The sequence below is a fragment of the Homo sapiens genome, chromosome 1, assembly GCF_000001405.40.
Source record: "Homo sapiens chromosome 1, GRCh38.p14 Primary Assembly".
In the NCBI taxonomy this organism is placed as follows: domain Eukaryota; kingdom Metazoa; phylum Chordata; class Mammalia; order Primates; family Hominidae; genus Homo; species Homo sapiens.
The window spans coordinates 104,684,168-104,709,497 of record NC_000001.11 but is presented as its reverse complement, the minus strand read 5'-3'; the positions used below and the strand labels follow the sequence as shown (position 1 = coordinate 104,709,497).

The window sequence follows — 25,330 nt, the reverse complement described above, 5'->3', positions numbered from 1 at the left end:
CCAAACAAAGTAACAAGATAAAACTCCAAATCAATCCTAATCAAACAAAGTTATGAAAAAAGAATTTGAAATAACACTCATAAAGATGCTCAATAAGATCAAGAGAGCAATGTGTGAGCAAAACGAAACTTTTAACAAAGAGATCAAAAACCTACCAAAGAAAAATCTTGGAAGGAACCATTAATCCTGCTTTTTGTCTCTCAAGATAGTCTTTTTCTCATATTTCTATAATTATAATCATACAATATGTGTTCTCTTGGAACTGCTTTCTTTCACAGAGCATACTGTTTTTAGTATATTATAACAAATCTTTTTTATAGCTGATTAAAATTCCACTGAATATGCCACATTTCATTTATATATTAAGAAACAATTCTAAAATTTGTATGGAACCACAAAAGACTGAATAATCTAAACAACCTTGAAAAGGAAGAATAGAGCTTCCTGATTTCAGAACATATTACAGCACTACAAAATTAAAACAGTAAGGTGCTGGCATAAAAATAGACATTTCTAGCAATTCAACAGAATAGAGAGCCAAGAAGTAAACTCATACATATTCAGTCAATTTATCTTTTACACGGATGCCAAACATACATAATGGGAAAAGGATATATCTTCAACAAATGGTATTTGATAAACCACGTATAACATGCAAAGAATGAAATTGAACCTTTATCCTATACTATACACAAAAATCAACTCAAAATAGACTAAAGACTTAAACACAAGATCTGAAACTGTAAACCTCCTACAAGAAACAGGGAGGAAGCTTCCTGACATTGTTATTGGCAATCATTCCTTGGATATACACCAACAGCGCAAGTAATGAAAACAAAAATAAAGTGAAGCTATATAAAAGGAAAAGCTCTTCACAGCAAAGACAAAAAAATCAAAATGGTGAAAAGGCAATCTAGGTAATGGGAGGAAATATTTGCAAACCACACATCTGATAAGAGGCTAATAGTAAAAATATATAAGAAACTCACACAACTGAAAGAAATAATCCAATTAAAAAATCAGCAAAAGTCTTTAGTAAATATTTCTTCTAAGAAGACAGGCAAATAATCAACACATATGAAGAGATACTCAACATCGCTAATCCTCAGGTTAATACAAATCAAAATTGTAATATCATCTCACATCTGTTAGAATGACTATTATAAAGCAAAGAAAAACAGGAGAAAATATAAGTTTTGATGGTGTGCAAAAACTAGAATCTTTGCACAATATTGCTGGAATGTGATCTGGAGCAGCTGTTATGAAAAACAGTGTGCAGGTTCCTCAAAAAATTAAAAATAAAACTACCAACAATCCCACTCTGAGTATTTGTCCAAAGGAATTAAAATCAGTATTGTGAAAGATATTTATAATCCCATGTTCATTGCACCATTATTCATACTAGCCAAGATTTAGAGGCAACTTCAATGTTCAGTAGCAGATAAAGATAATATCGTGTAAACATACAAAAAAAATATTATTCAGCCTGGCCAGTTGTGGTGGTTCCTGCCTATAATCCCTCCCCTTGGGAGGCCAAGGCAGGAGGATTGTTTGAGCCCAAGAGAGTGAGACCATCCTGGGCAACAAAGGGAGACTGTGTCTCTATAAAAAATTAAAAAAAAAAAATTAGCTGGGCATGGTGGCTCACACAGATCCTCCTGTCAGCCTCCCGAGTGGCTTGAACCTGAGAGGTGGAGACTGCTGTGAGCCATGATTATGCCATTGCACTTCATAGAGTAAGACCCTGCCTCAAAACAAACAAACAAATAAAAAAAACCAACTGTCTGGCTTTATCAACAAGAAGAATAAACCGGGAGGAAGTTATGCTAAACAAAAACAGCCAGTCACAGAAAGACAAATACAGCATAATCCCAGTTTTATGAAGTATCTAAATAGTCAAACTCATAGAAGAAGAGAGTAGAATGTTGGTTGCCGGTGCCTGGGGAAGGGGGAAATTGGGAATTGCTATTCAACAAGTATAAAGTTTTAGTTTCATAAAATGAATAAGTTCTAGAGATCTTCAGAATATGAATCATGCATTTCCAAGTTTTAAAATTGTTTAGTAACATAATTTAATTATTTTAATAACCAAATTGAAAGCAAAATCTTTTTACTAATTGTCAGTGTCATATTTCAGGACAAATATTGAGAACGCCTCTATTGAAAGCAGAAAGAAGAATATCATTACTAGTAAGTTTTTAAATTATTGTAGTGCTGGCCAATTCTATTAGGTTTGTGTAAATGGCATAATTATTGCAAATATTTCTGCTTAAAAATTAAAAATCTCTTAATATTATTGAGGGTCTAAGTGGCTAAGTTGGCTGGACTTCCTGGGTCAATAGGGACTTCCCTAAGGGGACTTTCCCCTAAGCCAAAATGAGTGCAAGCTAAAGGATTGAAACTTCAACCAATCAAAGGGGACTTTCCCCTGAGCTAAAATGCGTCACGGCTACAAGCTAAGGGATTGAAACTTCAACCAATCATATAGGGAGTTTAAACTCTAGCTGCAGCCCCATGTTTTTAACCAATCAGGCCCACCAACTCACAAGCAGATAGACAATAAGCTAATTCTATAGGACAGAAAAAGGAAAAGGGGAGGGGTCATAAGATGATATAAGCAAAAGACACCCAAGCCAGAAATGGCAACCCTTGGGTCCCCTTCCAGCAAAGTTTTACTTTCGCTTTCGCTTTACTTTTGCTTTTGCTTTACTTTTGCTTTGGCTTTAATAAATCTTGCCGCTGCACACTCTTTGGGTCCACGTGTTTCTCTAATCGAGCTGTAACACTAGCCTCTGCGGTCCATGGCTTCATTCCTTAAAGCCCATAAGACTTACCAACCCTTTGATCGAGAAAACCCTTTGATCAGGAAGCAGACTCGGCATCTCATTTCGTCCACGTGTTTCTCTAATCTAGCTGTAACACTCGCCACTGAGGTCCACGGCTTCATTCCTTGAAGCCCTTGAGACCACGAACCCTTTGATCAAGAAAAACCTTCAATCAGAAGAAGACTTCTCGTCTCATTATTAGCAAGAAGCATTGTGTAATCCTATAGAAAACTCCATTCACAATATCAAGAGTATGAATTAACTAGTATTAACTTAAGAAGGATATAGAATTTATATTATTATAACCTATTGTGAACTGAATTAAACATATATAACAAACAAAAAAATAAAACAAAACAGAGTAAACTGTGTGACATATCATCTTTTGTATGAGGACACACATTTCTAATAAGCTGTAATTATACATTTAATACAACCTAATAAAATCATAATTCTATTTTTGTCTGTGTTGGTGCTACTTGAGTCTAAATAAAATATTCCAAATTTCATCTGAAAAAATAAACATGTGACAAGTTTCAGGATAAATGCTTTCCATCCAAACATTAACATATCCTTAGTATTCTTCTATGAATTATGGATAAACCTCAAGGAATGTAAACATACCCCTCTATTTTCAAAGAGCTTAAAATATGTATTGTGAACTCAGAAAATCTGAGATAGGTCTCAGTTAACTTAGAAAGTTTATTTTTCCAAGGTGGAGGACGCACCCATGACACACCCTCAGGAAGTCCTGAGGACATGTGCCCAAGATGGCCGAGGCATTGCTTGGTTTCATACATTTTAGGGAGATGTGAGACATCAGTTAATATAGGTAAGAAATATATTGGTTCGATCCGGAAAGGTGAGACAACTTGAATTAAAGGCAGGAAGACTCAAAGGAGGAGGGGGGGATAAGTGTGACAAAAGGGTTGCATTCTTTTTGAGTTTCTGATTACCCTTTCCAAAGGAGGCAATGAGATATACATCTGTGTAAGTGAGTGGGGAGAGAGGGATAACTTTGAATACAATGGGAGGCAGGTTTGCCTTAAGCAGTTTACAGATTGAGTTTTCCTAAGTGATTTTGGAGGCCAAAGATAGTTTGCTTTCACAGTATTATAAATGAAATCAGACAGAATTATGTAAATTCTGTGCTATAATCAATTATTACCTATAATGTTTTTCAAAACTTAATGCCAATGAGAGAAAATTAATCATTCACTTGTTTTTTACAAGGTAGAAAAGATCACCTTTAGACTCTTACAAGGTATGTATAAATAAAGATTTAAGGGTAAAACCAGAAAATACGGAAATACTGAAACAAAATGCAGGCTTATCCAAATTATGACCCAGATGAAAAAAAAATTAAGAAAAGTATCTAGAAAAAAATGAAAAGAAAATTTTAAAGTAAAGTAATAAATTTTAATGCAAAAGACAGAAGCTACTTTCCAATTGGTTAAATTGTATAATGTTTTAATACATTCTTCAAACTAATAAGAAATAAGCAAAAGATAAAAGACACTTTCCAATTGGTTAAATTCTATAATATTTTAATGTGTTCTTCAAACTAATAAGAAATAAATTACATAAAATAAAAGGAAAATGAACAATTATTGTTTTGCTGAAAATGAAATACAAACAACTGACAAGTAAAAGTGTTCTTAACCTTCATTCTAGGTGAAATAAGAATGGGTTACAATATATTGTTAGAAGAATGTATTTCCAATCTATTCCTGAAAATTTACTATATTTTCCCCTTACAACTGGGGTGAGATTATACCTCATTTTAGTTTTGATTTGCATTTCTGTGATTATCAATGATACGGTTTGGCTGTGTCCCTACCCAAATCTAACCCTGAATTGTAATAATCCCCACATGTCAAGGGCAGGGCCAAGTGGAGATAATTGAATTATGTGGGTGGTTTCCCCCATACCGTTCTTGTGGCAGTGAATAAGTCTCAGGAAATCTGATGGTTTTATAAATGGGAGTTTCCCTGAACAAACTGTCTTGCCTGCCGCCATGTAAGAGGTGACTTTGTTTCTCTTTTGTCTTTCACCATTATTGTGAGGCCTCCCAGCCATGTGGAACCGCGAATCAATTAAACCTCTTTCCTTTATGAATTACCCAGTCTCAGTTATATCTTTATTAGCAGTGTGAGACCAGACTAATACAATCGATGATGTTAAGCATCTTTTAATATACTTGTTTTCCATCTGTATGTTTTCTTTTGAGAAATGTCTATTCTGATCTTTTGTTCATTTAAAAAATTGGATTATTAGATATTTCTTATGGAGTTGTATGAGCACCATATATTCTGATTATTAATCCCTTGTCAGACAGGCAATTTCTCCCAATCTGTGGGTTGTCTCTTCACTTTGTTCATTGTTCCCTTTGCTTTGCAGAAGGTTTTTAACCTGATGTAATCTCACTGGTCCACTTTTGCTTCGGTTGCCTGTGCCTGTGGAGTATTGCTCAAAAAGTCTTTGCCCACTCCAATGTCCTGAAGAGTTTCCCCAATTATTTTTATTAGTAGTTTTATGGTTTGCAGTCTTATACTTGTCTTTAATCCATTTTGATTTGATTTTTGTATAGGGTGAAAGATAGGGTTCTAGCTTTATTCTTTTGCATATAAATATCTAGTTTTCCCAGCACCATTTGTTGAAGAGACTGTCTTTTCCTTCAGTGAATGTTCTTGGAACCTCATCAAAAATGATTTTACTGTAGATGTATGGATTTATATATGAGTTCTTTATTCAATTCCACTGGTGTCTGTTTTCATGCCAGCATTATGCTATTTTGATTATGATAGCTCTGCAGTATAATTTAAATCAAGTAATGTGATTCCTCCAGTTTTGTTTTATATGCTTAAGATAGCTTTGGCTATTCTGGGTCTTTTGTGGTTCCATGTAAATTTTAGTCCTGTTTATTCTGTTTCTGTGAAGAATATCATTGGTATTTTGATAGTGATTGCATTAAATCTGTAGATTGCTTTGAGTTCTATGGACATTTTAACAATATTGATTTTTCCAATTCATGAACATGAAATATCTTTCCCTTTTTTTTAAAGTTTGTCTGGCTAAAGGTTTGTGTCTAGCTAAAAGTTTTTGTGTCCTTTTCAATTCCTTGCATCAAACTTTTATAGTTTTCATTGTAGACATTCTTCTCTTCTTTGGTTAAATTAGTTCCTAGGTATTTTATTTGTAGCTATTGTAAACGTGATAATTTTCTTGATTTATTTTCCAGATTGTTTGCTGCTGGCATATACAACTTCCCCTTATTTTTTATGTTGAGTTTTTATCCTCAGCCTTTCCGAATTTGCTTATCAGTTCTAATAGGTTTTTGGTAGAATCTTTAGGTTTTTCCAAATATAAGATCCTATTGTCTGCAAGCAAGAATAATTTTACTTATTTCTTTCCAATTTGGATACACTTTATTTCTCTCTCTTGTGTGATTGCTCTAGCTAGGAATTCCAGGACTACACTGAAGAACAGTGGTGACAGTGGTCATCCTTGTCATGTTCCATATCTCAGAAAAAAGGCTGCAGTTTTTCCATTTCAGTGTGATACTAGCTGCAAGTCTGTGGTATAGGGCTCTTAACATGTTGAGATATCTTCTTTCTATACTGTTTTCCGATGGATTTTATTATGAAGGTATGTTGCATATTATCAAATGCTTTTTCAGCACCAACTGAAACAATAATATGATACTTGTTACTCATTCTGCTGATATGATGTATCACACTGATGGGAGTTGTGTGTGTTGAATCACCCTTGCATCACTGGGATAAATCCCACTTAGTCATGATTAATGATTTTTTAAACATGTTGTTGAATATAGTTTGCTAGTATTTAGTTGAAGATTTTTGCATCAATATTTATCAGTGATATTGCCCTGTAGTTTTTTGTTTTTTGTTTTTGTTTTTGTTTTTTTGATGCGTCTTTGGTTTTGGTATCAGGATAACACTGGACTTGTAGAATGTCATTGGAAGTATTCTCTCCTCCTCTATATTTCACACTGGTTTGAGGAGGATTGATATTTGTTCTCTAAATGTTTGGTGGAATTCAGCAGTGAAGCCATTAGGTCCCAGGCTTTTCTTTGCTTGAAGCCTTTTATTATTATGTGTTCAATAATATTACTTGTTGTTCTTCTGTTCAGGTTTTGTTTTTTGGTTTCTTCATGGTACAATCTTGGTAGGTTGTATGTGTCTAAGAACTTGTCTATTTATTCTAGATTTTCCAATTTATTTTCAAATTTATTACTTGTTTATAGTACCCACTAACGATCTTCTGAATTTCTGCATTATCAGTTGTAATGTCTCCTTTTACATCTCTGATTTTATTTATTTGTATCTTCTCTTTTTTTTTGGTAAGTTGGTCTGGCCAAAGGTTTGTTGATTTTGTTTAGCTTAATACTTTTTGTGTTATCGATACTTTGCTTTTTTTTTATTTCAATTTCATTTATTTCTGCTGTAATCTTTATTATTTATTTCAGGTAGGACCATCAATGGAGACTTTTACTTCACCATCTTGCTCTACCTCTCTCTCCCTTTCCTCACTTTTGTAGGAGCCCATACCCACTGATTCTGATGTGTACGTGGTTATGCCAATTTACCTGTTTCTAGTTACTGAAATATTGCTCTACATTGGATATCTTAAAGTGTTGTAGAGTAACAATATTCAATTAAATTGAAATATATAAATATACATATGACTAGATCATACAAAGGTAGACTTTCAAGCTCCACTTTAGCTATTTCAGGAGCCAGGTTACTAGAATTACTCTCTAGAGTCATGAGGATAATAAAGAACTGTAGTCCCTTTTTACTCATATGATCTTGACAGTTAATATTGACTTGAATCCTTTGCTGTGCACAGGAGATCAAAGTATGCCCTCTTTAAACCTAGCTCTGTATATTTTGAAAGATTTCCAGTGGTCTAATATTAAATACCTTCTCCAGGCTTCTCTGAGTGGTGTCTATTCCCATTTTAATTACATTCCACATAAAAAAGAATGACCATACAATTTATTTTCTGAATTGAGACACATGAGCATAAAAAGAGACATTATAGTCTCATACCAGATATAAAACAATACATAACAAAGAGGTGGAGGATGATCATAATACTGGATTATATCCACAATTTGGTTAGTCTATGACTTTCTATTATATAAAACTCTCCCTCACTTCCCATTACCAGTTCAAGAGCTACTTTTGATAACTTCAAACTACCTAAATATTAAATATCAGAGAATCTGTGTTTCTCTTAGAGGGATAGGGAAGTGGGGAATAACACTGTTATTTTAAGCCATTATATTTGAAAGCAGAAGAAAAAAATATTTACAATATTTTTGAACATTTCCATCATCAAAATCTAACTAATTTTATCCATAATCTTTGATTTTTTGCAAAGAAGTGGGAGGGGGATTGATTAAAAACTTTTGCCAATTTGAGTTCACTTAAAATCTATATAAAAATTAATCATCTCTGAGACTAATAATAGTGCTCTGTAGTATATGGCTCAAGAGAATTTTCACATTAATAATTCTCAACAACATTTAACTAATGCTATATATATATATATATATATATATATATATACATTGCTTAAATGAAATGTAACATGTTTTGGTTAAATCTTTTGAATTACATATATAGCTATAGTAAATATTATTATTTGTATAAAATCCACTAAAATGCTATGAAACACCAATTAAAACAGTGTATTGCAATGCAAATAGCTACAGAACAAATATTAATTTCATAATTTGAACTGCTAATTTGTTTTGTAGCTTCTAAGTTTGTTGTTTTTGTTTTTTCTCTAAAATAAAATAGCATTGCCAAAACTTAGGGTCATTTTTTTAATGTGCATTAAAATTAAATATTTGTAAGACAATCATTTGTAAATATAAGACCATGAGTAAAACACTTAGGATTATGACTGGTTCATAGAAAATATTTATTAAAAATTAATCATAATTATTTTCATTTTAATTATCTACTGCTGCCTGAATTTACAACAAAAATACAAGTAACTCAAATAAAAATTCTTATAAAATATTGTTTTTATTTTAGAATGGCAATTAAATAAAAAAGTGTCAATAATAATAATAAATAAAAAAGTGTCAATTAAATAAAAATGAACTGTCCAATGAATGTTATTAGCTATGTCTGACATCATATATTTCTATGATGAAATTTTTATTGGCTCTACTTGGTTTTAGCATCAGAATTTTTAATGTGAACCTGATTGCCACTATATATATAATTTTTTAAAATTTTTATGTTAAGCTCATTTGTTGCCCAGCAAAAGACACGTGTGCCAATGAAATGAATGAAACATCAGGATTAGTGTTACAAAATTATTCTTCTAGCACAAATATTAACAGTAGTATTATTAAAACATTTTAGGAATTTGGATCCTGCTGCTTCTTATCATAAAATGGTGCTTCATTTCTGGGATTGTTAGTGAAGCTAATTTAATTTTGAATATAATAATGGTGATGTACTTTATAAATACACAAACACACACACGCACACACAGCGTTGACCCTTGAACAATTCAGGTGTTATGAGTGCCCACCTCCACTCTGCTGAAAATCTACCTATACCCTTTGACTTCCCCCAAACTTAACTATTAATAGCTTATTTTTGACTAGGTAGCCTTATCTGTAACATAAATAGTCAATTCACACATATTTTGTATGTTACATATAGTATATTGTATTGTTACAATGAAGAAAGCTAGATAAAAGAAAATGTTATTAAGATAATCATAAGGAAGAAGAAATACATTTACTATTCATTAAATGTAGTAAATGGATATAAATGGATTTATGAATATAAATTATATTCATAAATGGATATAGACTATCATAACAGTATTCACCTTCATGGTGTTCAGAATAAGTAGGCTGAGGAGAAGGAGGAAGAGGAAGGCAGTCGCCTTGCTGTCTCAGGGCTGGCAGAGACTATCAAAAGGTGGAGGAGGTGGAAGGGGAGGCCAGAGAGGCAGGCACACTTGGTTTAACTGTATGGAAATACACTGTCATTTCCAACTGACTCTTTTGCTTTCTCTTTCTCTAAAAATGTTTCTAGATGGTGCCCATCCCCCTTCCACTGTTTGCTTTGGTTTCAGTGCCCATATCATATAAGGATCTATGTCTTAAAAGAAATCAAAATCAGTTTTGAATAATCAGACTGCTTCTGACAGATTGTCTAATGTCAATTTGTTTTCTGACACTACTTCTAAGTTTTTTCCTCATCCTCTGGCACTGGTTCAGAAGCACTTATTTCCATGAAGTAATTTATGTTACTTCCTCTGGTGTAGTGTCTATGAGCTGTTGAATTTCTTCAAGCTTCATATCTTTTTTTTCTTTTTTGTGAATTATTATTGTTATTATTATACTTTAAGTTCTAGGGTACAAGTTCACAACATGCAAGTTTGATACATAGGTATACATGTGCCATGTCGGTTTGCTGCACCCATCAACTCGTCATTTACATTAGATATTTCTCCCATTGCTATCCCTCCTCCAGCCCCCCACCCCCTGACAGGTCCTGGTGTGTGATGTTCCTGGCCCGGTGTCCAAGTGATCTCATTGTTCAGTTCCCATCTATGAGTGAGAATATGCGATGTTTGATTTTTCTGTTATTGTGATAGTTTGCTGAGAATGATGGTTTCCAGCTTCATCATGTCCCTGCAAAGGACATGAACTCATCCATTTTTATGGCTGTATGGTATTCCATGGTGTATATGTGCCACATTTTCTTAAACAAATCTATCATTGATGGACATTTGGGTTGGTTCCAAGTCTTTGCTACTGTGAATAGTGCTGCAATAAATATATGTGTGTATGTGTCTTTATAGTAGCATGATTTATAATCTTTTGGGTGTATACCCAGTAATGGAATTGCTGGGTCAAATGGTATTTCTAGTTCTAGATCCTTGAAGAATCACCACACTGTCTTCCACAATGGTTGAACTAATTTACACTCTGGCCAACAGTGTAAAAGCATTCCTATTTCTCCACATCCTCTCCAGCATCTGTTGTTTCCTGACTTTTTAATAATTGCCATTCTAACTGGTATAAGATGGTATATCATTGTGGTTTTGATTTTCATTTATCTGATGACCAGTGATTATGACCATTTTTTCATGTGTCTTTTGGCTGCATAGATGTCTTCTTTTGAGGAGTGTCTGTTCATATCCTTTGCCCACTTTTTGATGGGGTAGTTTGTTTTTTTCTTGTAAATTTGTTTAAGTTATTTGTACATTCTGGATATTAGCCCTTTGTCAGATGGGTAGATTGCAAAAATTTTCTCCCATTCTGTAGGTTGCCTGTTTACTCTGATGGTAGTTTATTTTGCCATGCAGAAGCTCTTTAGTTTAATTAGATCTCATTTGTCTATTTTGGCTTTTGTTGCCATTGCTTTTGGTGTTTTAGTCATGGCGTCCTTGCCCATGCCTAGGTCCTGAATGGTATTGCCTTGGTTTTCTTCTAGGGTTTTTATGGTTTTAGGTCTATGATTTAAGTCTTTAATCCAACTTGAATTAATTTTTGTAGAAGGTGTAAGGAAGGGATCCAGTTTCAGCTTTCTACATATGGTGAGCCAGTTTTCCCAGCACCATTTATTAAATAGGGAATCCTTTTCCCATTTTTGTTTTTGTCAGGTTTGTCAAAGATCAGATGATTGTAGATGTGTGGTGTTATTTCTGAGGTCTCTGTTCTGTTCCATTGGTCTATATATCTGTTTTGGTACAAGGACGGTGTTGTTTTGGTTACTGTAGCCTTGTAGTATAGTTTGAAGTCAGGTAGCATGATGACTGCAGATTTGTTCTTTTGGCTTAGGATTATCTTGGCAATGTGGGCTTTTTGTTGTTGTTGTTGTTCCATGTGAACTTTAAAGTGTTTTGTTTTTTTTTTCAATTCTGTGAAGAAAGTCATTGGTAGCTTGATGGGGATGGCATTGAATCTATAAATTACCTTGGGCAGTGTGGCTATTTTCACGATATTGATTCTTCCCATCCATGAGCATGGAATCTTTTTCCATTTGTTTGTGTCCTCTTTTATTTTGTTAATCAGTGGTTTGTAGTACGCCTTAAAGAGGTCCTTCAAATCCCTTGTAAGTTGGATTCCTACGTATTTTATTCTGTTTGTAGCAATTGTGAATGGCAGTTCACTCATGATTTGTCTCTCTGTTATTGGTGTAGAGGAATGCTTGCGATTTTTGCACATTGATTTTGTATCCTGAGACTTTGCTGAAGTTGCTTATCAGCTTAAGGAAATTTTGGGCTGAGATGATGCAGTTTTCTAAATATACAATCATGTCATCTGCAAACAGGGACAATTTGACTTCCTCTTTTCCTAATGGAATACCATTTATTTCTTTATCTTGCCTGATTGCCCTGGCTAAAATTTCCAACACTATGTTGAATAAGAGTGGTGAAAGAGGGCATCCTTTTCTTGAGCTAGTTTTCAAAGGGAATGCTTCCAGTTTTTGCTTATTCAGTATGATATTGGCTGTGGGTTTGTCATAAATAGCTCTTATTATTTTGAGATGTGTTCCATGAATACCTAGCTTATTGAGAGTTTTTAGCATGAAGTTCTGTTGAATTTTGTCGAAGGCCTTTTCTGCATCTATTGTGATAATCATGTGGTTTTTGTCATTGGTTCTGTTTATGTGATGTATTATGTTTGTTGATTTGCATACGTTGAACCAGCCTTGCATCCCAGGGATGAAGCTGACCTGATTATGGTGGATAAGCTTTTTGATGTGCTGCAGGATTTGGTTTGTCAGTATTTTATTGAGGATTTGGCATCGATGTTCATCAGGGATATTGGTGTAAAATTCTCTTTTTTGTTGTGTCTCTGCCAGGCTTTGTTTTCAGAATGATTTTGGCCTCGTAAAATGAGTTAGGGAGGATTTCCTCTTTTTCTATTGATTAGGATAGTTTCAGAAGGAATGGTACCAGCTCCTCTTCATACCTCTGGTAGAATTTGACTGTGAATCCATCTGGTCCTGGACTTTTATTGATTGGTAGGCTATTAATTTTTGCCTCAATTTCAGGGCTGTTACTGTTCTATTCAGACATTCAAACTCTTCTGGGTTTAGTCTTGGGAGGGTATATGTGTCCAGGAATTTATCCATTTCTTCTAGATTTTCTAGTTTATTTGCATAGAGGTGTTTATAGTGTTCTCTGATGGTAGTTTGTATTTCTGTGGGATCAGTGGCGATATCCCCTTTATCATTTTTTGTTGTGTCTATTTGATTCTTCTCTCTTTTTTTCTTTATTAGTCTCGCTAATGGTCTATCAATTTTGTTGATCTTTTCGAAAAACCAGCTCCTGGATTCATTGATTTTTGAAGGGTTTTTTGTGTCTCTATCTCCTTCATTTCTGCTGTGATCTTTTTTTTTTTTTTTTTTTTTTTGAGATGAAATCTTGCTCTGTCACCCAGGCTGGAGTGCAGTGGCGCGATCTCAGCTCACTGCAAGCTCTGCCTCCCGGGTTCACACCATTCTCCTGCCTCAGCCTCCCAAGTAGCTGGGACTACAGGTGCCCGCCACCAGGCCTGGCTAATTTTTTGTATTTTTAGTAGAGACGGGGTTTCACCATGTTAGCCAGTATGGTCTCGATCTCCTGACCTCGTGATACACCCGCCTCGACCTCCCAAAGTGCTGGGATTACAGGCGTGAGCCACCGCACCCAGTCTCTAGTTCTTTTAATTGTGATGTTAGGGTGTCGATTTTAGATCTTTCCTGCTTTCTCTTGTGGGCATATAGTGCGTGAATTTCCCTCTACACACTCCTTTAAATGTGTCCCAGAGGTTCTACTACATTGTGCTTTGTTCTCATTGGTTTCAAAGAACATCTTTATTTCTGCCTTCATCTCGTTATTTACCCAGTAGTCATTCAGGAGCAAGTTGTTCAGTTTCCATGTATTTGTGCAGTTTTGAGTGAGTTTCTTAATCCTAAATTGTAATTTGATTGCAGTGTGGTCTGAGAGACAGTTTGTTTTGATTTCTGTTCCTTTACTTTTGCTGAGGAGTGCTTTACTTCCAATTATGTGGTAAATTTTAGAATAAGTGTGTTGTGGTGCTGAGAATGTATATTCTGTTTTTTGGGGTGGAGAGTTCTGTAGATGTCTGTTAGGTCTGTTTGGCGCAGAGCTGAGTTCAAGTCCTGGATATCCTTGTTAACATTTTGTCTCATTGATCTGTCTAATATTGACAGTGGGTTGTTAAAGTCTCCCATTATTATTATGTTGGAGTCTAAGTCTCTTTGTAGGTCTCTAAGGACTTGCTTTATGAATCTGGGTGCTCCTGTATTGGGTGCATATATATTTAGGATAGTTAGCTCTTCTTGTTGAATTGATCCATTTACTGTTATGTAATGGCCTTCTTTGTCTCTTTTGATCTTCGTTGGTTTAAGGTCTGTTTTATCAGAGGCTGAGCTTGCAACCCCTGCTTTTTTTTTTTTTCTTTTCTTTTGCTTGGTAGATCTTTCTCCATTCCTTTATTTTGAGACTTTGTGTGCCTCTGCACATGAGATGGGTCTCCTGGATAAGCACACTGATGGGTCTTGACTGTATCCAATTTGCCAGTCTGTGTCTTTTAAATGCAGCATTTAGAACATTTACATTTAAGGTTAGTATTGTTATGTGTGAATTTGATCCTGTCATTATGTTTGCTGGTTAGTTTGCCTGTTAATTGATGCAGTTTCTTCATAGCATCGATGTTGTTTACAATTTGGAATGTTTTTGCAGTGGCTGGTACCAGTTGCTCCTTTGCATGTTTAGTGCTTCCTTCAGGGGCTCTTGTAAGGCAGGCCTGGTGGTGACAAAATATCTCAGCATTTGCTTGGCTGTAAAGGATTTTATTTCTCCTTCACTTTTATGAAGCTTAGTTTGGCTAGATATGAAAATCTGGAATGAAAATTATTTTCTTTAAGAATGTTGAATATTGGCCCCCGCTCTCTTCTGGCTTTTAGGGCTTCTGCCGAGAGATCTGCTGTTAGACCAATGGGCTTCTCTTTGTGGATAACCTGACCTTTCTCTCTGGCTGCCCTTAACATTTTTTCCTTCATTTGATCCTTGTTGAATCTGACAATTATGTGTCTTGGGGTTGCTCTTCTTGAGGAGTATCTTTGTGGTGTTCTCTGTATTTCCTGAATTTGAATGTTGGCCTGCCTTGCTAGGTTGGGGAAGTTCTCCTGGATAAAATCCTGAAGAGTGTTTTCTAACTTGGTTCCATTCTCCTCGTCACTTTCAGGTACACCAGTCAAACACAGATTTGCTCTTTTCACATAGTCCCATATTGCTTGGAGGCTTTGTTGGTTTCTTTTTACTCTTTTTTTCTCTAAACTTCTGTCTCATTTTATTTCATTAATTTGATCTTCAATCACTGATACCCTTTCTTCCACTTGATCAAATTGGCTACTGAAGCTTGTGCATTCATCACGAAGTTCTCATGCCATGGTTTTCAGCTCCATCAATTCATTTAAGGTCTTCTCTACATTGTTTATTCCAGTTTGCCATTTGTCTAATCTTTTTCCAAAGTTTTTAGCTTCCTTGCGATGGGTTCGAATATGCTCCTTTAGCTCAGAGAAGTTGGTTATTACCGACCTTCTGAAGCCTCCTTCTGTCAGCTCATCAAAGTCATTCTCCATCCAGCTTTGTTCCATGGCGATCCCTTGGAGGAGAAGAGGAGCTCTGGTTTTTAGAATTTTCAGCTTTTCTGCTCTGGTTTCTCCCCATCTTTGTGGTTTTATCTACCTTTGGTCTTCGATGTTGGTGACCTACAGATGGGGTTTTGGTGTGGATGCCCCTTTTTGTTGATGTTGATGCTATTCCTTCCTGCTTGTTAGTTTTCCTTCTAACAGTCAGGTCCCTCAGCTGCAGGTCTGTTGGAGTTTGCTGGAGGTCCACTCCAGACCCTGTTTACCTGGGTATCACCAGTGGAGGCTGCAGAACAGCAAATATTGCAGAAGAGCAAATATTGCTGCCTGATCCTTCCTCTGGAAGCTTCGTCCCAGAGGGGCACCCACGTATATGAGGTGTCTTTCGGCCCCTACTGGGAGGTTTTTCCCAGTTATGCTACTTGGGAGTCAGGGACCCACTTGAGGAGGCAGTCTCTTCATTCTCAGAGCTCAAACACTGTGTTGGGAGAACCACTGCTCTCTTCAGAGTTCAGTTGAAAATGCAGAAATCACCTGTCTTCTCCGTCGATCATGCTGGGAGCTGCAACCAGAGCTCTTCCTATTCGGCCATCTTGAAACAGATCTCAAGTTTCATATCTTGAAACCTTTCATCCCTTACCTTTTTTGACATATCAGCAATGTTTTCCATAGTTTCCATTTTTGGCTCTGTCATAAATCCTGAGAAGTTATCAACAATATCTAGTCTCAGTTTTCCACGGTAGGAATTTATTGTTATGGGTTTGATGGCTTTCACAGCCTTTTCTATAACAATGATGGCATCGTCAATAGTGTAACCTCTCCAGACTTTCATGATGTTCTCTACTGGAGTTTTCTTTCATAATATTGACAATCCTTTCCATAGAATACTGTGAATAATATGCCGTAAACATTCTTATGAGCCCCTTATCTACAGGCTGATTTTGAGAACTTGTGTTTGGGTGCAAGGAAACCACTTTGATGTTTTGGTGTTAAAATCATGGGATCCTGGGATGCCAGGGGCATTGTCTAATATCAAAAGAATTTAAAAGTCAATTCCTTACTGACAAGGTAATTTCTGACTTCAAGGACTAAGCATCAATTGAAACAACCTAGAAAAACAGTTCTCATTGTTCAGGACTTCTTGGGGTACAACCAAAAGATTGGTGGCTGGTGTTTTTCATTTTCCTTCAAGGCTCCAGGGTTAACCACTTTATAGATAAAGTCAGTTCTGATCATAAACCTGTTTGTATTTGCAGAAAACAGGAGAGTTAGCATGTGCTTTCCTGCCTTAAATTTTAGTGCTTGCTTTTCTTCCTTACTAATAAGTGTCTTCGGTGGCATTATTTTACAGAAAAATGTTCTTCTGTCTGCATTAAAACTTAGGTAGGCAGTTATTAGTTATACTTTCTTCTCAATGCTTTTTTATGTGGCGTCTAGGAACTCATCTGCTTTTCTTTTTTTTCTCTCTCCAGCTGCTTCTCTTTTTATCTTGACCTTTTTTTAGGTCAAACTTCTTTCCAAAATTATCAAACCATTCTTTGCTGGCATTAAATTTACCAATCAGATCCTTCACCTTCCTCTTGCTTTAAGTTGTCATGTAATAATTTTGCTTTTTTTTTTTTTTTTTTTTTTTTTTTGAGACAGTGTCTCTGTCGCCCAGGCTGGAGTGCAGTGGCGCGATCTCGGCTCACTGCAAGCTCCGCCTCCCAGGTTCACGCCATTCTCCTGCCTCAGCCTCCCGAGTAGCTGGGACTACAGGCACAGGCCACCACGCCCGGCTAATTTTTTTGTATTTTTAGTAGAGGCGGGGTTTCACCGTGTTAGCCAGGATGGTCTCGATCTCCTGACCACTTGATCTGCCTGCCTCGGCCTCCCAAAGTGCTGGGATTACAGGCATGAGCCACCGCTCCCAGCCAATAATTTTGCTTTTTTTGTCTTATTATCATCTATAAGTATGCCTTTCTTATAGGAATCATGCACCCATGTAAAGGTTCATATTTAATATAAGTTAAAAAGGTACTTAGCAAAAAGTGCAAGGTATTGATGCATGCAGCTGTAGCTGCAGCAATGGCTTCACAAATTTTCTTTCATTTTTTTTACAATGGTCCTTGTGCTGGATTCATTTATCATGAAATATTGCCCAACTGCAGATACAGACCTCAATCTACAGTACCTATCAAGCAGTTCAACTTTTATTGTGATGTTGTGACTTTTCTTGCTTCCTGGACCCACTTCTAGCATCACCAGTGACAGTTCCTATGGGTCTGATGGTATTATTCAAGACTCACAGTATTGCATGAAATGTTATGAAACATGAGAATGGTGAAAAATCCTTTTTTACTGCAATATGCAATTTACTGGAGAGAAGAATTGCTTATGTGATAATTAGCACGACTTGGCATTTTAAGTGGATAGTCTCAACACGAGCTCATTGCAATAGCAACAGGAGGTGGCTATGAAATTAATATTGTAGTATAGTATGTATTACAATTAATTTTATGCTGTTATGATTTAATCCATCCTCATTAAATTTCTTTATATTTGTTTTGATTGTGAATGGGCCATATAAGACCTGTAAATATTTGTGTGAATACATTTTGATAAATTTTAAATAGGTTTGTATACATTTTGATTAGTGAATAACATTGACTAGTGTCTACATATACTAAAATTTTTTATGCATACACAACATACCAAACTTTTTAATCATTATTTTCAATATTTATAGGCTACATCATTTCTCTGAAAGTGGTTTTCAAATTATTGCAAACCTTGAAAAATATTCCAATTATTTATTTAAAAAAAAATTATGTGTTAGTAGGCCCATGTAGTTCAAGGGTCAATTGTTTGTTTACAAACACACACACACATATGTGTGTATATATAATAGCTAATATCTAATACATAGTTTTTTTAAGTTCTGCCACTTATGCCATAATTTAATTAAGACATTAGAGAAAAATATATAAATTTATATAATATATGCATATAAAGATATATGTAACATATAAAAATATATGTTATATGTTCTCAAATATTTTAATTAAGTAATAGCATAAGTGGCAGAACTACCAAGGTGAAATTATATCCAGGCATATTATCACTAACTATATCATCTAAAAGATTTATGACACAATTTTACTCTCATATTTATTAATGAAGGAAAAGAAAATGAATCCCTCCTGTACTTTAAAGGTGATTGACATTATTAATCAAAGTATAAGGTTGCTTCACAACTACTTTTGGAATATTCAGGAAGCAAAGTAGTCATTTATTTGAAATAAATAGATTCGGACACATTCAAACAATCTAAATTATGATTTATAAAACTTTCCTCTGTTTTGGAGGAAATAAAATTTTTATCAGAATTTGATAACCTGTAAACTTATGTTTGTTTTTCATTTATAACACTTTTTCTTAATCATTATGTTGTATAAGAAAAAAGTCTATATCTAGGTCTGTATTGTTGTACATTCAATATATTAGGGTGCATTAAGGTAAATGATGAATGAAGTTAAGAATATGTGACTAAATAAAATACAGTAACTTTAACAAGCTGAAGCTAGAGTTGTACCCATAGCAATACAAATGGAACCCACTGAATATTCAATAGACTCAAATGGTCACAATACAGACAATCAAACCCCTGCTAAATCGAGATTGCAAAGAATTTTGAGTATGGAATAATATTTAGTGTGGAATTCAGTGTATTTATTGATTTAGTGATGTCAATTAGTTTTCACTTCACCATAAACAGATATTTCCTGCCCTCTTCAACTGTGAACAAATATTTTCCAAGATTGAAAAAGTTGAGGATGATATGTAATAAAAATTAAAATATATACTAATACAAAACTGTGGTTCAATCTTTTTATTTTGTTCATTAAATAATCACTGATAAATTATTCAGGAATTATCTTTAAAATGTTTTGAAATTAGACTTTAATTACCAATTTTAATGTAGTAAAGAATTTTGCTTTGATAGATCAAAATTCAATGTTAAAAAATTACTGTAATATACATTTATATTATGCCACTATTAGAATTACAATTTTGAATTTATAGTTAAATCAAAGTTTACTAAGAATAACTTAGGGCCAAACATGTTTTTTTCTAGTTGGTTAAATAAAGCAAGTGAGCTCTTATATGCATATAATTTAATTAGCATGTAATTTGTTAACAGTTAATATACTTTCATATAATAGTATTTTGATGCTGTGTGCATTAGTCAGGTCAGGCTGTCATAACAAGACACCATAGAGTGGCTTGAATAACAGACATTTATTTTCTCACAGTTCTAGAGGCTATTCAAGATCACGATGCCAGCATGGTCAGGTTTGGATGAGGGCTTGTAAGATGGCTATTTTCTTCTTGTGTGCTCACAGGCAGAGAGAGGGCAAGAGCAATACCTCTGATGCCTCTTCTTATAAGGCCACTAATCTCATCCTAAATCCCCCATTCTCATCTAAACCTGATTACCTACCAAAGACCCCATTTCCAAACATTATTATATTTGAAGTTAGGGATTCAGCATATGAATTAGGGTGAGTGGAACAATTCAGTCTATAGCACTGTGTATACAGTTTATCTGTAAGACTACAATAAAATATATCCTCCAAGTTAGAATACTTTTTGAGCAAGAAATGCATGCTGTTAATAATCATAATAGGAAGAGTTGCAAACCTGAATATTTCCAGGCAAATAGCTGTGATTATCCTTTTATATGTTATTACACTATAGTTAAAAACAGTTATATGGTTTGGCTGTGTTCCCACTTTAATCTCGAATTGCAGTTCCCATAATTCCCAGGAGTCATGAGAGGGACCTGGTGGGAGGACATTTAATCATGGGGGTGGATTTTCCTGTGTTGTTCTCATGATAGTAAATAAGTCTCACAAGAACTGATGGTTTTACAAAAAAGCAGTTCCCCTGCACAAGCTCTCTTGCCTGACGTCATGTAAGACATGCCTTTGCTCCTCCTTCACCTTCCACCATGATTGTAAGTCCTCCCCAGCCACATGGAACTGTGAGTCTGTAAAACATCTTTTTTTTTAATAAATTACCCAGTCTCGGGTATTAGCAGTGGAAGAACTGGTTAATACAAACAAAGATCATATTTTTCAGTTTGATATTTCTACTAAAATTTCTGTTTGACTATCCAGAGTACCTGGTACTATAAACTTGAGTCTCTCCGCACAGAAAGCAGATACTATTTTTGCATACAGTAGGACAAGATAAAGGTAAAAGAGGAACTAGTTGAGTGTTTATGCTAGATGCTGTGTTATGTGTTTTATAAACATCATGAACTAGAGAGATAGCTCATGATGTCTAAGCAGTCTCTGTTTCTACTTATGAGGTAATACAGAAAAATATAACATGCTGTTTAAAATTATGGATCATGGGAACAGACTTCCTGGGTTTAAATCATAGCTATACTTCTACTACTACTAGTGATGTTACTGGGTTTAAATCATAGCCCTGCCTCTATTACTACCATGTGACATTATTCAAAATACTGTTACCTTGATAAAGTGCCTTAATTTTTTTTTGCTTCAGTTTCATCATTTCCAACATACAGGTGGTAATTGCACCTATACCACAAGATTAAATCAATTAAGTGTGTTTGTGTGGGGGGATGCATTTTAAAGAGGGCCTGACAAATGCAATAGGTAAGTGTTTCCTATGAATATTACTTTTGTTTTCTCTTAATGTAAGCATACCTGTACATACTTATCCTTGGTTTTATTTTTGTTTCACCTCATAGTACCTCATGCCAGAGCTGATTTTTGGAGTCTTTATCAATTATTTGTTCTGGCTTGAAAATAAAAACTGGGTTAATTCATTTCACAGTACACTGAATAAGAAAACACCTAAGGATTGTTGTAGAATAAAGGATACCTAACAGTATGTTACTTATTGTAGCATGTGTAAACATCATTGTCATACAGTTATTTGACACAGAAATCAGATGTCTCTATGTGGAAATTATATGTGAGAACCAATTAAAAAATACGTTAACTTAGAGTGAAATTATCATTGTGATTCATATGGTCTACCTCTGTATTTAGATTCACATATAGCTGAGTGAGATTTTTCTAGTTTCGCAACATATTAATATTGTTAAAACTTTCACAGTGTAGAGAACTTATATATAGAAGACTTGAGATGTAGACACATTGTTTCAAAATATAAATTGACTTAATGAATTTTATGACCTCACATTCATCAAATAAAACAGGAGGAAGTAATCACATATTAGCTTCAGAATGTTAATGTTTCCAAAGCCTTGGACAGTGAAATTCCATATGTGCTGATGTGCGATATTTACATAATATAGTGTCGAACCTGGGACAAAAATAGTATGTTGAAAAAAAAGAAGATAAAGTTATTTAAGCTTAGCAAAAGGAGATGTAAAATAGTAAAAGCAAAAAATATACAATTAGGGAACAATTTTGTCTATTAATCTGTTTAAACTACTTACTAAATGTGTATTAGATGACAGTTATTCACTGTGTTTGTGGAGAGCCTCATAATATATACTATGAACACGCTCTTGGGAAGAGACTACAATAGTAATACTCCTTGTAAACTGGGGGTGACTCAAAGATACTAGGTAACACAACTATGTTTTAAATCGCGTATGATTTTTAAATAGTTCAAAAAAATAAGATATAAATATTAAAAATATAAATTGTTCTACCATAAAGACACACGCCTTCATATGTTCATTGCGGTACTGTATTCATTGCAGCACTATTCACAATAGCAAAGACATGGAGTCAACCTAGATACCCATTAACGATGGACTGGATAAAGAAGGTATGGTACAGGCCGGGCGCGGTGGCTCACGCCTGTAATCCCAGCACTTTGGGAGGCCGAGGCGGGCGTATCATGAGGTCAGGAGATCGAGACCATCCTGGCTAACACGGTGAAAACCCGTCTCTACTGAAAATACAAAAAATTAGCCAGGCGAGGTGGCGGGCGCCTGTAGTCCCAGCTACTCCGGAGGCTGAGGCAGGAGAATGGCGTGAACCCAGGAGGCGGAGCTTGCAGTGAGCCGAGATAGCGCCACTGCACTCCGGCCTGGGCGAAAAAGTGAGACTCCGTCTAAAAAAAAAAATAAGTATGGCACATATACACTATAGAATACAAAAGAACATAATCGTGTCTGTTACAGCAACATGGATGCAGCTGGAGACCATTATAGTAAGCAAATTAATGCAGGAACAGAAAACTAAATACCTCATGTTCTCACAAGTGGGAGCTAAACACTGAATACACATGAAGCACAAAAAATAAAGCAATAGACACAAGGGCCTACTTGAGGGCAGAGAGTGGGAGGAGGGTGAGTATAAAAAAAATTACCTGTCAGGCACTGTGCTTATTAATGGGATGATAAAATCATATGTATACCAAACCCCTGTGACAGGCAATTTACCCATGTTACAAACCTGCACATGCACCCCCTGAACCTAAATTTGGAAAGCAAAATAAATAAAAAATAAATTTTAAAAATAAAATATGTAGATTATTAAGATGTACATTACCTGAAAATTGTACCCAGGGTAGAGTAATAAGAAACAAAAAATAAGTAAGTTGCAATAAATTATCTTCTCTATCAAGAAAAACCTTTGAGAAAAACAATATATGATATTATATTCAGATAGTCACAGGACTTATTAAAATACATTTGAAATTAAACTTAGTAAGGACTCTCTCCAGAAGCAGAATAATAAAAAGTTAACTAGGAATTATTTTAATGAATAAATTGTATAATATAACAAGTGCCAGGATGGGAATTGTAAAAATGACCATCCTCTATGAATTAATTTATAGACTTAATTCAATTAGGTGAAAAGCCAGTGGGATTTTCTTATAAAAAGATAAAATAACCTCAAAGAATAGAGAAATAATGAAGATGTAAAACCATCCAGAAAAAAATTAATTTTAAAAATGTTTTTATTTAAATATAAATAGTGAAAAGTACACATATTATGTTTGTCTCACATTTATCTCACACAAGTCTATTTTTAAAATTATTTTTTTCTGTAGTTTCCCAGGATTTTTTTTTTTTTTATTCACTCTGCCTTTCATGTAACTAATGTTAGCTTCTTCTTTGGCCACCATGCTGTGAAACAAATCCATTGGCTGCAGAGTTTCAAATACAATGTTTATTTTTTAAGGTCTTCAATTTCTAGCATGATTATTGATTATTTCAAAAGTGAACATTCTAATAGTTTCTTCTATTTTGTCACTTTTTAAAGTTTTGTGGAACATATGTGTCATAGTAATTTTAAAGTCTTTCTGTGGTAACTCCAGACAAGGTCTCTAAAATTACTAAAATTACTTATTTTGGTCTGAGCATGGTGACTCGTGCCTGTAATCCCAGGACTTTGGGAGGCCGAGGCGGGCGAATCACCTGAGGTCGGGAATTTGAGACCAGACTGACCAACATGGAGAAACCCTGTCTCTACTAAAAATACAAAATTAGCCGGGCATGGTGGCGCACACCTGTAATCCCAGCTACTCGGGAGGCTGAGGCAGGAGAATTGCTTGAACCTAGGAGGTGGAGGTTGCAGTGAACCGAGATTGTGCCACTGCACTCCAGCCTGGGCAACAAGAGTGAAACTCCGTTTCAAGAAAAACAAACAAACAAACAAATAAAAAACTTATTTTGTCATTTTTTCCCTTGGTTACTGGTCACATAGTCTGCCCTCTTGTATGTATAATAATTGTTTAATTGTATGCCAGCTGCATAAAATGTATGTTTTATTTTGTATTAAGGTGGTATGGAGGCAAAATTCCCAACCCTAAAAAGGACAGAGCTGCATCAGGGCTGATTTGAAGTTTCATTCTTTCTAATTTATTCCTTGGTTCTGGGGTTTGTGCTCTGAGCTCATTGCTTAGATTATGGGAGATTTAATTCTACCCCAACCAGTGATCCTACGCAGCTGCAAATTTTGACAAATGCCTTACGATGGAGCATGCCATGTTTTGGGGAAGGCCTCTGCCTTGACAGATCTTTGTTTCCAATTGACACTGGGTTGTAGATGAAATTACTGTGTGTAGCTTTTCAAAGCTTTTGGCCTAGCTCCTCTGTCTTCCAAATAAGCCCTGAACTCGGAAAATGTTCTTTTGAAAGAACTGGAAAATATCCATTACGAAAACAAACAAAAACAAACAAACAGAAAACCAACCAGCTATACATTATCAGTTTACATCAAAACAGTTCTTCCCCCTCCAGAAGTTTTGATCATGTTTCCCATTGTTTATGCAATGCTCCCTGATGCCTTTCATAATATATTTTTTTGTAACTAATCTGTCTTTCTTTTTTTCTAGTTGTGACATCAGAAGTTTCAAGCTGCCATAATATACTGTATTTTATCAAGAAAGGGCACCCACTCCCTTAATAACCAAATGCAGTAATAACTGACTCCATAGTAACTTATGATGAGAAGGCTTCTATTCTATCACTTCTTTTCCTGAGGTCTTTTTTCTCATTAAGAAATGATTACAGGTTCGAGAAGTTTATCTTGTCTTGGTTTATTTGTTATTTAGTTCTTTGCTCAACATTAAACATTCCTGCAGGATACTCCTCTGCGCTTCAGAAAAACTGCTCCTTGTGTGTTGTATTTCCATCAGACCCTAAGCTAATGCCACCCATTTCTATACACTTTTGTCCCATTTGACACTTAGGCCCTTCTCAATCTTCCAAATATAATTAAAGTTTTAAGGGATAAAAAAATTTTAATGATGATTTAAGATTTAAGTATAACAGAAAACGTGACAAAGCATAAATAAAATATAAGCCACATCTAGATGTAACTGTTT

At 35.0% G+C, this 25,330-nt stretch overlaps 1 annotated feature.

Annotated features, from left to right (window-relative positions):
- Nucleotides 1,945-3,144: an enhancer, noted in NCBI's record as "P300/CBP strongly-dependent group 1 enhancer chr1:105248976-105250175 (GRCh37/hg19 assembly coordinates)". NCBI's record gives its function as "activates an origin of replication core promoter dependent on BRD2, BRD4, P300/CBP, MED14 and CDK7 cofactors, with strong dependence on P300/CBP, by STARR-seq in HCT116 cells {active_cell/tissue: HCT116}" and the evidence as "EXISTENCE:reporter gene assay evidence [ECO:0000049][PMID:35650434]".